Genomic DNA, 18,119 nt, shown 5'->3' with positions numbered 1-18,119 from the left:
AGAAGGAAGGTCTTAGAAGGCAGCATTGTTCACCTTCACCTACCCTAGGTCTCCCCCACCCTCAGAGGGGAGTATTTGGTTCAATCGCAAGACTACTCCAGACATCCATTAAGAACAAATGGTTTCCAGCACAGTCCTTTCCTGGGGTCTGCCTTTTCCCTCTGGGATGCTTGGAAGTTGAAGGGGTCAGGCAATTCAAGTCCTCCCCGGTATCTCAGGGGCCACTGACACACAGGAAAATGTGCTGCTCTGCTCACTGTTTGACTTTGGTGGATGCAAATTTGTTCTAAATGAGCCTGACATTCATTAGCATGTAAACATATGTTGCTGGTGGTGGCTAGCAGGGCCACGTGCTGATGGATCTCGTGGGCTGTCCCCGCCGGACACCACCAGGCTGCCTGGGTCTGTGTTGTTTCTGGCTAAGGCTCCACATGTTGTTTTTCTTGCACTATGAAGTCTACATTTTAGCTACAGGGTCATTTTTTTTTTCCACTGGAGAAACACAGACACATTTGTGAAAAGAACCTGAGTTTATCCACCGATCTACTGGAAGGAGCCTCTTAGAATGTCAACTGCTCAGCATCTGCCTTGACTCCCAGGCAGTTCTCACTGTCCTGTGGCTCAGAGACTCCATGGGGCTGAATTATATATTTGATTCCAGTTCTGCTCAATATTTCCCCACAAGTAGTGCTGTGGATGCATCTGATGCCTTTAGAGATATCTGCAGCAGGAATAGTGCAGAGAATAAAACACGCCATGCTAAAATATTTTTGCTGAAGGCAATTAAGAAGTGCTCTGGCCTTCCCTCTATTTTCTGAAAAATACACAACATAATCATATTATACAAAGGCAAAAGTGCCCTTTCTCCCCTCTCTGCCAGGAAGGATGCAGGTCAATCTCCGCAGACAACTTCAGACCCTTATCATTCAGGAGACAGCACCAGAGGAATTTACATAAAAACTCTCATTTATTGGTTTTCCCACAATTTGCTGCCCCCAGTGACCTAAAGTCCTTTTACTTTGTCTTGGCACTTCTCAAAACATTTATGATCCTTGTCGAAGATGTTATATCAATGAAAGTTCTGAGCTGTCTCTTTGAGATTCCCTCATTCCCTGTTTATCTCCCACATATATATGAGATATACATGCTAATTAACCTCTGTTTGCTTTTATTGGGTTCATCTGCCTTTTGTTATAGGAACCCCAGCCAATGAAGCTAAGATGGGTGGAAGAAAAAATTACATTTTTCTCCCCTGTGGCAGCATTATTCTAGCAATAGCGTTTTTTTGTAGATTTCTGTTGAATTCATAAACACACACACACACACACACACACACACACTCACACAGAGCAATGTAAAAAGAAAGAAGTGTGGGGAGTCCTGATGAAAGTTTAGGTCACAGAGATACCTAAATATGTTGGAAAGTTGTGTTTAAACATTGATTTTTTCCCACATTTATTCTCATATTTTGGAATTTTTTTTTCTTCTGAGATACCATTTCTAGTTTGTTTTCTCTACATTTTCTTTCACATCCAAGAAAGTATGCTGGTTAACAGTGTGTCCAACGTACTGCCTCTGTCCTTGTCAGTAAACAAATGTGGTAATGGAGAGGGATATGGGAGTCACACTACACCGGGATGGAAACACAGATATGAAGTAAATAAAAACACGTGAAAACCCAGCATTTCTGGAACTCTCACCTATTCCTGTGCCAATATCCATCCTTCAGCTCCCCCTCCATTCTTCCCTTCTTTTCTCACACTATGGGGTCTGCTTTGGAGATGTTATCTACTTCCATTCTTCCAAAGTCAAGCTTCTAGCTTTGGTTGGAACTGCAGAACCATTTACTTATTCGGCAAATATTTTCTAAGCACATGTATAGGCACTGAAAATACCATGGTTCACCAACGTGGCCCCTGCTCTCCCGAACTTGCAGCCTGATAGGGAGCGTGGACACTAATATAACAACCACTCTGATGGGTTTCTGATTAAGAATTGAGGAAAGTGCACCAAAGAAAGGGAAGTGGGATTCTGTAAGTTTATGCTGTAAAAGAATTTGGTGTATCTTGGGATGAGAGGTAGAAAACAGATGCATTCTGGAAGGGATGATCCCCTTGCAATCTGGAGAGAAGCAGAGGTTGATTGTTCAGGGGGGCAGAGTGTAGGGACACCACAGTCTAAACAGAGACGGGGGTGCATGCAGAACGCCTCCTGCAGCAGGAAACAGGCACGTGCAAGGAAGTAAGCAAGAGAGAAAGCGGCGCAAGACAAGACAAGAACGAAGGCAGGCAGGAAGGGGCTGGGAGATTATGGTAGATGCTTTTTTCTCTTAATAACAGCAATGGGACGCTGTTGAAAGCACTTGAGGGAGGTGGGGAAGTGAGTATGACATACTTTGTGTTTGTAAAATTATCACATTGTCTTACCAAACTAAATATACTCTTTATTTATCATTATTATTATTATTTATTATTATTTTCTTTTTGAGACGGAGTCTCGCTCTGTCGCCCAGGCTGGAGTGCAGTGGCGCGATCTCGGCTCACTGCAAGCTCCGCCTCCCAGGTTCACGCCATTCTCCTGCCTCAGCCTCCCGAGTAGCTGGGACTACAGGCACCCGCCACCACGCCTGGCTAATTTCTTGTATTTTTTTGGTAGAGATGGGGTTTCACCGTGTTAGCCAGGATGGTCTCGATCTCCTGACCTCGTGATCCGCCCACCTCGGCCTCCCAAAGTGCTGGGATTACAGGCGTGAGCCACTGCGCCTAGCCTTTTTTTTATTTTTTAATTTTACTTTAAGTTCTGGGATACATGTGCAGGTCTGTTACACAGGTATACATGTGCCATGGTGGTTTGCTGCACCTATCAACCTGTCATCTAGGTTTTAAGCCCTGCATGCATTAAGTATTTGTCCTAATGCTCTTCCTCCTCTTGCTGCCACCCCCCAACAGGCCCCAGTGTGTGATGTTCCCCTCCCTGTGTCCATGTGTTCTCATTGTTCACCTCCCACTCACGAGTGAGAAAATGTGGTGTTTGGTTTTCTGTTCCTGTGTTAGTTTACTGAGAATGATGGTTACCAGCTTCATCCCTGTCCCTGTAAAGGACAAGAACTCATTCTTTTTTATGGTTGCATAGTATTCCATGGTGTACACGTGCCACATTTTGTTTATCCAGTCTATCATTGATGGGCACTAGATATACTCTTAACATGTGATCCAGCAATTGCATTTATCCAAAGGAGTTGAAAACTTGTGTTCACAGAAAAACCTGCACATGGACGTTTACAGAAGCTTTATTCATAATTGCTAATTTTATAGCAGCTTTATTCATAATTGCTCAAACTTGGAGGCAACCAAGAAACCAAAATATTCTTCAGTAGGTGAGTGGATAAATAATGTGATATATCCAGACAATGGAATATTCTTTAACACCGAAAAGAAATGAGCTATCAAGTCATGAAAAGAAATGAAGGAACTTTAAACACATACGACTACACGAAAGATACCCATCGGAAAAGACTAAATACTGTAAGCTTCCAACTAAAGGACATTCTGAAGAAGGCCAAACTATGGAGTGAAAATATTAGTGGTTCCCAGGTGTTGGGAAGAGGGAGAGATGATCAGGTGGAACATGGAGGATTTTTAGGATTTTAGTGCAACTGCTCTGTATGACGCTATGATGGTGGATACATGTCATGATACATTTGTTACACCCATAGAACCAGCACCAAGAGTGAGCCCTCATGTAAACTGTGGACTCTGGGTGACAATATGTCAATGTAGGTTCTTCAATTGTTACTAATGCTCCCTCTGGGCAGGAGTGTTGTTAGTGGAGGAGGCTGTGCATGTGGGGGAACGGAAGGCATATAAAAGGACTCTCAGTACCTTTCCCTCAATTTTTCTGTAAACCTAAAACTGCCTAAAAGATAAAGTGTATTTTTAAAAAATAAAGAAAAAAAACCCCTAAAAATCCTCACAAAAATCAAATGAGAAAATGATCACACTGGATGCTTCCGGTCAAAATGGAAGAACAAGGGCTGTATTTACCATCCCACCAGATGGCTTTTTTCCTTACTGCTTTTCAGCATTGTTTTGGAGTCTAGCCAGTGCAATAAGGCAAGTTGAAATATATAAAACACACCTTTACTAGAAAATAAGATTTAAAACTATCTGTATCTGCAGGTGACCTAATCACCTATGTGGAAAATCTCCTGAAGTCACAAAAAGCCACTAAAACTAATAATAATAAATTACTTACTAATAAATGAGTTTGGAAAGTTTGCAAGATACAAGATCAACACACAAGCAGTATTTATCTCTTTATACACTGGCATGAAATAATTGGAAATGGAAATTTACAAAGCAATATTATTTATAGCACATCAAAAAATGAAATATTTAAGACTAAATCTGACAAAAGATGTGTAAGATCTATACACTGAAAAGCAGGCAGTGACGCTGAGATAAATTAAATAACTAAATAAATGAAGTGATATACTGTGTTCATGGATCAGCAGGCTCAATATTGTTAAGATGTCAATTGTGCCCTTGTGGATCTACAGGTTTAATGCAATTCCAGTCAAAATCCCAGCATGATTTTATTTTATTCTATTTTTTTTTCAGTAGAAATGAACAAGCAGTTTCCAAAACGTGTCTGGAAATTCAAAGAACCCAAAAAAGCTAAGACAACTTGGAAAAAAAAAGGTGGAGGACTTACCTTAACTATCAAGATAGTGTGGTATTGGTATAATAAGAGAAAACTGGGCTAATGAAACCTCCTAGAGGGTCTAGTAATAATCTCACAAATATGTTACATACATGCAGTGGATTTTTGAATAAAGTTTCAAAGACATTAAATTAAAAGGACGATAATGATGATAGAACGATTAAATACCATATACCAAAAAAAGAAAAAAGAACTCCTGCTAAACATCTTCACATCGTTGGTGTCACTCATGCAGTTCAATTCACATTTTGCATGTCTTAAAGTTGAACAGACCTCTTCATTCTCCTTTCCCCAATTCACAGAGATGCTGATGTCTTTCAGTGGAACTTGAAGGTTTGCTACTCTTTTTAAAATGACTCTTAGATACTATTTATGCAAGAAGTTATGGGACTATAACTGACAAATACTGTTCCAAACCTTGGAATCACACATTCCCCTGTTTCTCTACTTGTCGTTTCTAATCAGTTTCCCATTTCCTCTTTCTCCTTCATAGTTACACTGCATTTCTTCTAGTTCAGGCTCTTCTTACCCTGCTTGATCTCTTGATGTGGTCACCTGAAAGTCCTTCCTGTTCCAGCCTCCTGGAATCCTTCGTTCATGACCCTGCAGAACTGCCCTCCAGACCAGCAGGTCTGACCGTGGAATCAAGGATCTCAAAGCCGAGTGGGATCTGAGAGGCTATCTAGACCAATCCTCCGCTACAGACATACACCTTTTGGTGACTTCACTTTAGAGCCCAAAATATTTGCACTGCAGGCAGAATCACCTAAATCACTTAATATGATGTTCAGTCTTCCCGTGGTATTTTCCTATGTGCATCTCCCTACTTTCAGTCAGCCATTTCTCACTCATGACACCGAATCCTTCATTCACATCACATTATGGTTCTTCTCCACACACACTCATTTGTTTTCTGAGTGGGTTTTTTGTTACATTACTCCCTCTGCTGGAAATATCATTTTCCAAGATCTGACTACAGAATTTTCATGTATTCCTCAGAATGACTCAAATATCACGTATTCTACCAAATGGCTGCAGATTCTGTCACCTCCTCTCCCATCCTGTGGCAACCTGGAGAGTGTTCTTCTCTCAGCCAATAGGATTTATCATGGTCCTTCTTTATCTTAACAATAGTTTAGCAGGACTGAGAACTGGGAAGCAGATTTTTCTCCCAGGGGTGAGAACTGTCTTAGTTTAGCAGATCTCACTGGGTCTCCATTCTGGTTGTGGAAAAGCAGCCCATAGGGCATGGTGGGGAGGAAAAGAAGAGGAACTAAGCTGTGTTGCATGAAGATGGACAGTCGTGACCCTCACTCCGGGGTTGGGAGTTGAGCTCACTAGGAAGGAGAAGCTGTAAGGATGAAGGCGAGGCATAAAAAGTGACGCAGGCTGGGCGCGGTGGCTCACGCCTGTAATCTCAGCACTTTGGGAGGCTGAGGTGGGTGGATCCCGAGGTCAAGACTTCAAGACCAGCCTGACCAATAAGGTGAAACCCTGTCTCTACCAAAAATACAAAAATTAGCTGGGCGTGGTGGCACACGCCTGTAGTCCAGCTACTCGGGAGGCTGAGGCAGCAGAATCGCTTGAACCCAGAAGGTGGAGGTTGCAGTGAGCCAAGATCATGACACTGCACTCCAGCCTGGGTGACAGAGCGAGACTTCATCTCAAAAAAAAAAAAAAAAAAAAAAAGTGATGCATAGTGAGAAGACTGTCCGAGGAGAAGAGGCAATCAGCAACCTTCTCCAGGGTGGGATGGCTGAAGACCCTTTACGAACAAGGGTGTCTACTTTCTTTCTTTAAGATGCTCTACCATGATTTAATGAATCCACCCAATCTACTGTATTCAGTATTTGGCATGAGTCGATTTAGGGGAATTCTAGAAAACATAGCTGGCTGTTATCATCAGGTTAAAATAGATTGGGAAGAAGGGAAAAAACTCCAGGAGATACGTAGGAAGGAAAATATGTGAAAACAGAAGAAACCTGGAGTAAGTTCACCCTTCAAATAAAATCCAATTTCCAAAAGACATTGTGAGGGCTGCTGGGTCTTCCACACCTGAAGATGGGGGATTCCAGATAATTATACTTGAATCTCACAGGATGGGGTGACCACCACCAGCTGTCACATGGGATGAGTTACAATATCTTCTATTGGGAGGAAGTAAATAGGAGGTTATGTACACGTCTGTAATCATCACAATTTTGTCAAGATTGCTGTTTTTACTCCCATGTCATAGACGGAGAGCCTGATGCTTGGGAAATGATTTGCTCAGGGTCTCACCATCAAAAGTGGCAGAGGAAAGATTCCAACATGTTTTAAAAGCTGCAAACTGAGCTGACTCCCATCCATGCTGTCATACCGACTTTTAGATTTCAATCCTCCTGAAGGCAGGAAACATATTCCATTTGCTTTTATATCCTCCGTAACAGTAGTGAGCAAGCTTTGCTCAAAGTAACATTGAATATTTTGCTGAATCGAGGTGAAAAAGAAGTAAAAGACTTAAATGACACCATCACAAGTCAACATTCAAGGAACAGAGACAGAATTAGCATTAGCTGTACCAATCAAATCAACATGAACATGCGCTTTTATTCTTTACATGGGGGTAAGACACCAAACACAATAGAAAAAATGAGCCAGGTATAAAAAATTTGTCACTAAGGGATGGATTTAGACAGACAGGAGAGCAGTGAAGTAGGTTATAAAATGCTCAGCATAATCCATCCATTTTAATGAATTATTAGCTGAAACATGCAAAGCATTTAGGATTTCTGGGAGAAGTGTACACACATACCAAATGTTTATCTGACATTTTCTTCACTGCTTCTGTCTTTCCACAGGGCTGGAGATGTTGTTGACCAACGGCCTTGGGAGGAGGGGTTGCAGCTGAGCCCACACCCTCTCAAAATCCTTTGGACTATTTCTATTTTTGTAGACTAATTTACCATTAACAGCAAATCCCTAAGATTTACTCAACCAGTACAGCAGTCGTTGGCCAGAGTTCAAATTTCTGATTCGAAGGAATCTGAGTTCTGCCTGCCAGTATTGAATATTAATGGCTTCCTCCATCCAGGAGCTGTGTCTTTGCTCACTACGGAACAGTGTTGAGGCTTTGAATGGGGCATTTTGCTGGTCACCTCCTGGTCGTCCTTCTGCTCACCAAGAGCAGATACTGTTCTCAGCCCCTTACATTTACAAGGTCGTTTAATTCTCACACAGTCCTTTCGGATAGACACTACTATCATCCCCATTTTACAGAGGAGGAGACTGAGAGGCAGAGGACATAGGTGAATTGTCTGAGATCGCAGGGCTGGCCGTGGAGCTGGGACTTGCACCCGGCCAGCCCGGCTCCAGAGTTTACTACCCTCCTCCTGTACAGCAAGTGCGACCTACACTAATCACCGCCCAAACAGGCAGGCACTGCAGACAGCTAAGCACACTTCATACGACTTAAGCACGCAGGAAGGTTAGTTTTCATTCTGGTGTTCAGCTCAGTTAGGACTCTGTTTTTATCGCCACAAAGATGCACGACCCAGAAAGCACAGTCACGTGCCGTTGCCTTCTACGGTCACGGTTTTCTACTTTTTGGCCTCATTTTCCTGCCCGCTTGGCCTGCTGGGATGTGAATGATGCGTTACTTCTTCTACAGAATGCAGGTGAGCAGGTGGACGTGGCGAGGTGGGTGATTGGACAAGGTTTCCCGACAGCTGGAAGCTTGGGAGAGACCCGCGGTGGCTCCTTGTTATTCTTCCTGGACGAGCCTCCTCTGGTGTCGAGCGTGAGTCCCTGATCGCCGGTGCCAGGTGGTGTCACAGCTTTTCGCACCCGAGAGCGACAGCCAGGGCGGGTTCTCTCTGTCCAGCGCCCCCCGCCCTGCCCCGCTCCGCTTCTTTAGTGAGAGAATTTCTCGGACTCTTGGGATTTTGCAATCAGAAGAGTGATCATTACAATTTTCATTTCGAATATTGTGGCCCTGCTGGTCTCGGTGCAACAGGCTCTTTCAGGGAGATTGGCAGAGATGCTGACGGGGAGACAGAGGGGAGTGGGAAGGACTCATGGGATGCAGCTCTGAGCTCCCCCGGGAGGGAGCGACAGAAACGTGGGTCTACTCTTCACATGGCCGCAGACTCTCCTGTGTCCTCCGTGGAACCTGTCGAGGCGGCGTTAGGCGCTGGCCCTCTCCGGGGTGTGAGCGCAGTGAGCCAGGGAACATCTGCCCTCCCGCCCCCATCTCTGCAGCCGGGTCCTCCTGCAGTTTCGACTTTTTGAGTGAACGCAGCAACCTTCCCCAACCTGCTGATGCTGCAAAAAGGAGCTGGAAAAGAACGTGCGCAGCTTCTCCAGGCTTAGTATTTGTTAATTTTTAGTTGGGAAACTTTGGCTTGAAACTTGGCTGCCCCAGTACAAGAGTGTGCTGAGGATTTTATTATCCTGCTGGATTCTCCCAGGAGGGCAAGTGGAAAACGAGCTAGGTTCTCTCTCTGTCTCTGTCTGTCTCTTGCTCTTCTTTCTGACCCTGTTTCTCTTTCTCTTCTCTCTCTGTGTCAGTCTCTGTCTCTTCTCTCTGTCTCTGTTCCCCTTTTCCTCTCTTCTCTCTCTCTCCCTCCCTTCCTCCCTTGTATTGCTGCAAATAATATTCTTGTTGAATTTGTTTCCCCATATCTTCTGCCTTTCCTTAGAATACGTTCCTAAAAGTCTACTCATTGTGAAAAGCAAACGGCCTTTACATGTTTTTCAAATCTAACAGATGGGGGCCTTTCACAGACAGGGCTTCGTTGTACACTTTTATCAAGAAGCCCGCGGCTTCCTGCTCGCCACGCTGCAGTCACACTCAGGAGGCCCATGGAGAGCAGAGGCCTTGGGGCTACACTGAGGGGTGTCTTTTTTCCAGTGTCCAGAAGGTATACTTTGGGGGGCAGTTGAAGTAGGAAAGTGACATCATCACTCCATGTATGGCATAGGTTTGTCAAGTACACAGTGTGCGCCAGACCCCAGACTGGCGCTGGGTGGGGATGAAGCACTTCAGTTACTGCAGGGTGGGTTGGGCTGGGGGCTGCCGGGCTCTGGGGATAGATGTGTCGGCTCTCAAAGCCCAGGTAGCAGCTGTCTTAGGCTGCACGGCCCTCCTCACCGCTTCAGTTCCTGAAGGGAAAGGCCCCAGGAGACTGAAGTGAAGAACGCTCTTCCATTTTCAACTCACCCGCCGTTAGGGTTCTGTCCCCTCTACACTCCAGCCCCCCAACCGGGAAGTTCCCGGGGCCCCTGGCCAGTCACTTGCCGAAGCCTCGCTCTCCAGGATCTCTATGAAGAGGCACCTTACTCTAATGCATGCTTCTCCGGGAATATTTGCTCTGGAAACGGCTGAGAATAAAAACCCATCTCTAACAGTGTGGTTGCAGGTGGGTGGCCCCAGGGCAGGTGATTTTGGGAAGGTGGGGCTGGCTGGCGCCCTGTGTCCCGACTTTACTTCTGAGCCTCCGCAAAACCACTTTTGAGAAAATTAATTGGGGTGGGTACTCCTGGGTGGCATTTTCTTCTAAGTGTGAAAATCTATTTGTAGAATTCCTGTAGTCGCAGGAGCTGTGGTTGTCTGTCACGATCCTGTGGGGACCGGGGCTGCCCTTCTGTGTCCTGGCAGTGTGGGGCCCATTTCTCTAAAACTGATTAATTTCCTTTCATCTCTTTCTGCTTCCACTGCAGTTTTTCAGGAAAGTATGTCATCTTCTCCGTTATCCCCATTAGTCTCTTCAATAAAACGCCCGTGAGTTTTCCATAAACCGAATTTAACGGTGTCCAGGGGAAATCCTGCTGTCCAGACGTCTTTTCTCTTTTCTTAAATGAGTGCATGGTGGCCATGGTTGGGATCACACTTCCTCTTTCCCCAAACTGAGGAAGCCCTGCTCTGATATACTTCAGGGACTGACTGAGGAAGCCCTGCTCTGATATACCTCAGGGACTGGAACCTCCTAGAGTGCTTGGAGCAGGTGGCCAGTCCTTCCGTCTCAGGAACACTTAACTTTTCTTAAGAGTTTAACCTGTTTTCTTTTTCTCTAACACTTCCTGTGGCATCTGAAACCTGGGTTTCTTTCTGTCATTTATGCTTTGGAAATTTGCTTAAGGTTTTCATCCATTTTCTTCCATCTCATTTCCTCTGAATGGATTTGAGAAGAATCTTCTCTTCGTTTCTAATTCTGTTTCTTTGGTTTTGCATTTCAAAGTCCTGTGGCATCCCCTCTCTAGTCGCTGGTGAATTCCTGTGTATCTCAGGTCGCACTTGATTCTGGGCTTGTTTTTCTCCCCATCTTCTTACATTACTGTGGTCAATTTACAAATATGACTCAGCATAAATGTTTTCCTTTTTCCTCACTTTAGGATCCCTTCACCAGAATTTTCCTGCAAAAAAATTTCACATGGAATCCCACAGGCTCAGAGTTTTTAAAATTTTCTTTATTTCATTATTCTTTATGTTTTTTTATCTTTTTATTTTTATTTACCTTTTATATTATCTTTTTATGTTCTTTATTTTCTTATTCAAGCATGTAACTCAGAGTCTCTCATCAGCTTGTCCTTCCCCCAGTGTGCTGATGCTTCGCTGCCTGCACTGACCATCAGGCACCTGGGTGTTTGGAAGGAGTCCACTGAATTTCCATGGAAACCTGGTCTCACTGATGGACCCAGTCTGGGGAGGGTTCCTGGGATTGAGGACGAGGCTTCGGCACTCAGGAGCTCTGAATGTGCTGTTAGCAGTTCGGCCAGCCAGCTTGTCCTGGACATCGGCTAACGTCTCATGCATGGGGTGTGCTGGCCCGGAGGCCAAAGCTGGTCAGGGCAGGAAGCTGGCTCAGAAGGTCGGTGCCAATTAATGATACAAAACATTGCAGAGGCCCGAGGATTCAGCGGGCTTGGCTAAATCCCTTGTTTGGCCTGCTTGCTGTTTCTGTTTTATCCTGCTGACCAAGAGCTGTGTGACACCCTTAGACAATAGTCACATATTTTCTTTTCATGTAAAAATAGTAAGTAGAAATTTCATATAGAAAATAAGAATTACGTGTACATTAATCTTTATGCCTATAAGATACTGTGACAAATGAAAAGAGAAACAAAAATAAAATACACATTTTCTGGGAAGGCAAATTTTATGTTTAGTGGACGTGCTGTTAAATATTTATCGTTTGTGATCAGTTTTAAGGGAGATAAAATCCGAAATAGTGTTTTTGAGGACAATAGTGGAGGCTAGTTCTGTATCACTGATTTGGAAACAGACACTAAGAGTTCATCCATCCCGGGTTAATGGCTGTTTGGAATGCCTTTGTAGAGCACGCTAAGATATATAAATGACACAGTCTCAACCCTTTGGTAGATTCAGCATCTCTCCTGTGGTAATCTGTGATACTAGACAGAAAGCACGCTGATAAGCTTCACGAGACAGATGGGCTCCTGTTCCCAGTTAGGTGATGGCCTCCTTCTGTGGGATCACCCATTCCCACAGGGTGACATGTGACTTCCAATGGCTCCTCACAAGGAGAGTCCCTAGTCCCCATCCCGTTGATGTGTATCTACATTCCCTCCCATTGATTCCCATCCCAGCAGCCACGTGACATCTTTGGCTAGTGGAACCTAGTGGACGTGCCCTGTGCCACCTCCCAGCAGAAGGTTTGGAGTCCTTGCCTTGATTCTTCGATCTGCCATGAGAGTGGTCCTGCTGACCCAGGGGCTGGCCTTTCAGCCAGGCCTTGATAAGAGAATCCGACAGGTAGACCTGAAGCCAGTCCTCAGCACCAAGGACCAAGAGCAAGAAATGAACGTGTCTTATGAGCCACTGAGATTGTGAGCTTGTTTGCTTAAGCTAGCTGATGTATCGAGGCAGTACCAATAGCGAAAACAACATGGTTAGTAATGTCAAGACCGAAGGACTCCTCTTACTGGTCACAGATTTAGGAAACTATTGTTACTGAAATTTCATCTCCCAACCTCATTCCCATCTGAATTTACTACATCCCTAGGAGAGACTGTGATTTTCTGGGTCCCATAGGCCCCACTGAACTAGTAGCTGAGGATCAAGCAGGGCCATGATGATTTGTCCCAGTGACATAACAGCAACTGATTCCACAAGCAGCATAATTAAATAGTAAAAATGTTCGGTAAAGAATGTAAGTGCTAACTCTTAAATGTTACCCCTTTCAGCACCAGCAGTCCTCCTAATTATTGACATAGGTGTGTATTAGTCATTTTCACACTGCTCTGAAGAAATGCCTGAGCCTGGGTAATTTACAAAGAAGAAGAGGTTCAATGGACTCACATTCCACATAGCTGGGGAGGCCTCACAATCGTGGCAGAAGGTGAAGGAGGAGCAAAGGCACGTCTTACATGGTGGCGGGCAAGAGACTGTGTGCAGGGGAACTGCCCTTTATAAAACCACCAGATCTCATGAGAGTTATTCACTACCATGAGAACAGCACAGGAAAACCCTCCCTCATGACTCAAGTACCTCCCATTGGGTCCCTCCTATGACATGTGAGGATTATGACACTTGAAGATGAGATTTGGGTGGGGACACAGCCGAACCATATCAAGGGGTTTATGGTCTGTATTCCTGTGAGCACATGAAATGCGACCCTCTCTAAGGTGGGCGCCCTGCCTTCTCTGCTCCATGTCCTGACTGTGGACCAGAGCCTGGTGCGTAGTAAATGTTCATTTAATTTGTGTCGTCTGACCAAAGACCTGGCCCACAGTGGCCCTGGAGATGCTGGCACCAGAAACAGTGCTGGGAAGCCTCTGTTGAGTTGCTTTGCTCAGAATAGCAAAGGGATAGAGCCCATATGTACCCAGGGAATTTTCCAGCACTTTCTTTTTTTTTTTTTTTTTTTTTTTTGAGACGGAGTCTCGCTGTGTCGCTCAGGCTGGAGTGCAGTGGTGCAATCTCAGCTCACTGCAAGCTCTGCCTCCCGGGTTCATGCCATTCTACTGCCTCAGCCTCTCGAGCAGCTGGGACTATAGGTGCCTGTCACCACTCCCGGCTAATTTTTTTGTATTTTTAGTAGAGACGGGGTTTCACTGTGTTAGCCAGGATGGTCTCAATCTCCTGACCTCGTGATCTGCCCGCCTCGGCCTCCCAAAGTGCTGGGATTACAGTCCTGAGACATCGCGCCCGGCTGGATGTGCATTTTATTTGCTCTTTCTGTCTGCGTGTTTTTAAGGAGTTAGTTTTGGGATCCCTATGAACTCACACAGTCAATTAAAACAGGTAAAATAGTATAGCTTTGATGAAGATACACAGTACATACTCTTCTAGTCCAGGCACTATTCTTCCGTATTTAGAAATCTCCTTCCTTCCTTTATTTCTTTAGCCTTTCCTTTAATTTTTTTTTTTTTTGAGAAAAGTACTCCGCATATTCATGTGTGCATTCAGAAACATACATTGGTAAATGGCACCTGCAGGGAAGTATTTGACAATCAATGGGCTAATATATAATTCAAGAGTTTTCTTTTCCTTTATTTTTCAATTAATGTCAGCATCAGTTCATTTCAAATTAATGAATACCACAGGAAAAATAGGACCTCAGAAGAGGTAAGAATGTAACAAAAGTCAGAGGCAAACAAGATTCCCACAATTGATCATCCAATATTTTTATCTCTAATCTTTTAGAAGTGACTATTTTTATGTCTAATGAACACTCACTATGTTTACGTCCAGTGCACATTAACCATTTGTTCGGTCTTATTCTAAAAATGTTGAACTCTTTCCTTTTCTTTCTAGATTTCTTTGGGGGCAAGCTAATATAATTTTTTCATTGTCTTACAGAGGTATAAGGAGTTGGTTTCTTTCTCCTGCCCCCTCATTTCTGCAGCCCTGCTGTAATCAGCCAGCCCACAGTAAATGGAGCCCGCACTCCAAATGAGGTCTCACACAGAGCAGGAATGATTTTCACTGGCTAATTTAAGATACCTCCATTTATGCTTGACAGGAAGGCATTTTGTCCTGTCTATTCAAGATTCTTTTTAACAGCACACGAACTTTGAGAAATGTATCCCTTCTATAGCATCCCTTTAACTCATTTTAAAAATGTGCATTCATATGAAGAGATTTTGCATTTGTGGCATACATTTGTGAATGCCTATATTTATACGGACAGATAAAAAATTTATTTGTATACAAAATACACATAAAATTTGCCAACACACTCACCCGCATTCCACAGCCTCTCTTCACATCGGATGCTGCATAAAAGAGTTCACGTTTCAAGGATGCAAAATGCATGAGGCTACTTTTCAGAGAGCTCTCAGGCCAGGAAAACTAGGCTGCATCCAGGAACACTGGGCACAGCTGGAGATTGATGGTGTAAATACCAATTCAGACCCTAAACTGCTGACCACCGCCTCTCGGAGAGCTCAGGCCAGCCTTCCAAGTGTCTCTGCATGTCTCCATGTGTCATTAATCCATTGCTCAATGCCACGAAAATGCATCTGATGACTTTTTTTTTTTTCCCCTGGCAAACAGTTCCATTGAGTAGGCAGGTGGGAGTACTTTTAGCGTTTGCTGGTTAGTCTCTCCAACTTGATTGCTTTAGGCTAATCCCATTTTAAAGACCTGTGGAAAGTGCTTTGGGCTTGTGAATGAAATTTAATTCTATGCTTCCAACAGGAGGAAAGGCACTGGCCTGGTTTAGGGGCTGCACCTCTGTGGGCTTTCTCCTCTCTCCTCCCCACCCCTCACTCTGCTATCCCCTCGCTTCCCTGAAAGCACACAACTCACCCAAAACTGACCTGTCCAAACAACAAACAGCTTACAGTAGCTGGCCTGGAAAGATCTTGGAAATCCAATTTGCGTGTGATTATTTAATTCCTACTCCAGCCCCCCATTCAGAGACTGGAATGACGTGTCAGGAATTCATTTACATCCTGATTCTTATTCACTCTCATGCCTCCATTTTTGGACTTCAGGCGTTGCAGAAACAATTCCAATCTTGCAAAATGATTTTAATTTGATGGACGTTTTAGTGTTAATTCAGGTGTGATGAATTACTAATTTGAAACATCATTTTTTTTTTCAGTGAAACTGTATTGAAGAGGAGCCCAGACCTAGCTATTAATGGCTTCTCTGGCTAAACTTGTGAAATCATGGGAGACCAAAGCCATTCAGAATCATTTCTTTCTTTTTTCTTTTCTTTTTTTCCCTTCGCAATAAGCATGCTTCATTTTTCTAAACAGAACAAAAAGAGATACCTAGAGAGTTGAGAAAGGATTTTTCAGAGTGAGGTGCTGGGTGGTTTCTGGGAACATGGTTTTCCTCACTTCAGTGTTGGAAGGAAGATGTTTAATGAACCCTCTTCCTCTCAGCAGAGGTATCTCCAGACATCCAGGTGAAGGCAGATTTGGGGCCTATCAATTTAAGGCAGTTCACAGAGAAAATGTTTTCCCTTGATTTAATGTTTCCGGATGTGAACTGTAGGGCAGCTGATTCAAATCAGAGAAAATTTCTAGTCCGCCTTCTCGGAGGACTTTGCAGGTCCAGGGGGGTTAGATGCACCTGTTGGTCGTCAGCGTGGATCAGACCTGAGTTTTGACGATACACTGGCTCCCCCTGCTGGTTGCCTCTTGGATTCTCCATAGCTGAAACTGTTAACTGCCTGCTGTTCCTTCTCACCCCAGGACGTGAGAGAGCTTTCGGTTCCCTCCCCACAAGGCGAGTGTGCATCTTCCACTGCACCCCAAAGCTGCTGCCTGCTTCTCCTCTGTTTTCATAACCTGGGATGCCTTCCTCTGAGGTCTGCTTCACAAGAATGGATTCATCACTTCAATTTGCAAAGTCACAGTTGGGTGGACATTCCGGTCAAGAATTCCAGGCGGAGGCCCTCTGTCTTTGACAGCTGGCTCTAGGGTTTAGCTGTTTAGGTTTTTTTGCTCATGACTACTGGGATCTGCTCTGCTCAGGAACGATCCTCCCATAATGTGGACGTGGCCGAGGGCTTGGGTGGAACCTTGCAGTGGCGTCAGGGGCTTGCCCTCCAGGGACCCCACTCAGTGGGGCCTCTTACCATCTATTGACCAGGCTGTTTTTACAGAGGCACAGGGAGAGAGGCTAATGGGCAGAAGACGGACAGTAATGCCGACGGTTTTTGTCGGTAGCAATGCAAATGAATTTTGTCTGGTAGAGATACAATTGATTTCCTTTCTATAAGAAAGTGTAACCACAAGCATCATTTTGTTATTGGCCTGGAGGACATTTAGCAGCTTTATGCCTATTAGCAAGTTCATTCCAGATTCCAACCGCCTATGCGCACCTTGCGCTCCACGTGTGCTGTTGAACAAGTCGATATCTTATGTCTCCCTCCTTTATTGATGAGTTAAACATGCTCTTTGACATGTGTTGAATTTATTTTTACATGGAAGTCATATACATCTAGCCTACCCTGTCACTCCGCAAACTCAGGACATGCCTTTGGCCATATAGTCTCTGTTTTTCGATTAATCTCTGAACTTCTCAGTACCTCAAGGGCGTGAAGCACAGCCTCTCCCTTCAGAGCCTTTTTATCTCTGTGTTAGTCAGGGTTCTCCAGAGAAACAGAAGCAACAAGATAAATAGATAAGTGGATAGGCAGATGACAGATAGAGAGACAGATAGACAGATGGAAAGACAAACAACAGATAGACAGACGGAGAGACAAGCAACAGATAGACAGATGGAGAGACAAACAACAGATAGACAACAGATAGACAGATAGATGACAGACCGATAGATACATAACGGACAGGGATAAATAGATAGATGGACAGACAGACAGACAGGAATTTATAGAAGAGGTTTATTAAGAGGAATTGGCTTATGCGATTGTGGAGGCTGGGAAGACCCACATGTTCCCTCCTGCACGCTGGAGACCTGGGAGAGCTGATGATGTCAGTCCCAGTCTGCATCTGAGGCCTGAGAACCAGGAACTCAGATGTCCCAGGGCAGGAGAGGATGTCTCAGCTGAAACAGAGGAAATCTGCCCTCCCTTCACTTTCTGGTCTATTCAAGCCCTCGGGGGACAGGTTGATGTTGCCCACATGGGTGAGGGTGGAGCCTTTTCACTCAGTCCACTGGTTCACATGCTCACCTCTTCCAGAAATGCCCTCACCGCCCTCCCAAGAAATCATCCTTTACCAGCTACCTGTATACCCCTTAGCCTGGTCAAGACAATACATAAAATAAACCATGGCACCTTCCCCATCTTTGCAACGACTCTTCTGAGGTCCTGTGGGCTTATGTACCACAAGCCAGGAGAGAATTTGTGCCCTAGGATGGACAGGCGGTGTCGAGTGGAGGCTCGATCCTGCAGCCTGCGGTACACCATGGCCCCCAGGTCCTGGGCACACATGTCCGAGGGAAGCTACTCTGCTTCCACCAAGCCTGCAAGCTC

General features: G+C 44.7%; 2 annotated features.

Annotated features, from left to right (window-relative positions):
* Window positions 10,075–10,611: an enhancer, noted in NCBI's record as "H3K4me1 hESC enhancer chr10:2976328-2976864 (GRCh37/hg19 assembly coordinates)". NCBI's record gives its function as "activates a minimal SCP1, AML or CMV promoter by ChIP-STARR-seq in naive H9 embryonic stem cells {active_cell/tissue: H9 hESC(naive)}" and the evidence as "EXISTENCE:reporter gene assay evidence [ECO:0000049][PMID:30033119]".
* Window positions 14,798–15,367: an enhancer, noted in NCBI's record as "OCT4-NANOG hESC enhancer chr10:2971572-2972141 (GRCh37/hg19 assembly coordinates)". NCBI's record gives its function as "activates a minimal SCP1, AML or CMV promoter by ChIP-STARR-seq in naive H9 embryonic stem cells {active_cell/tissue: H9 hESC(naive)}" and the evidence as "EXISTENCE:reporter gene assay evidence [ECO:0000049][PMID:30033119]".

The sequence above is a fragment of the Homo sapiens genome, chromosome 10 (genome assembly GCF_000001405.40).
Source record: "Homo sapiens chromosome 10, GRCh38.p14 Primary Assembly".
Classification (NCBI taxonomy): Eukaryota; Metazoa; Chordata; class Mammalia; order Primates; family Hominidae; genus Homo; species Homo sapiens.
The sequence above is the reverse complement of the archived record's forward strand: the minus strand, read 5'-3'. Positions and strand labels throughout refer to the sequence as shown.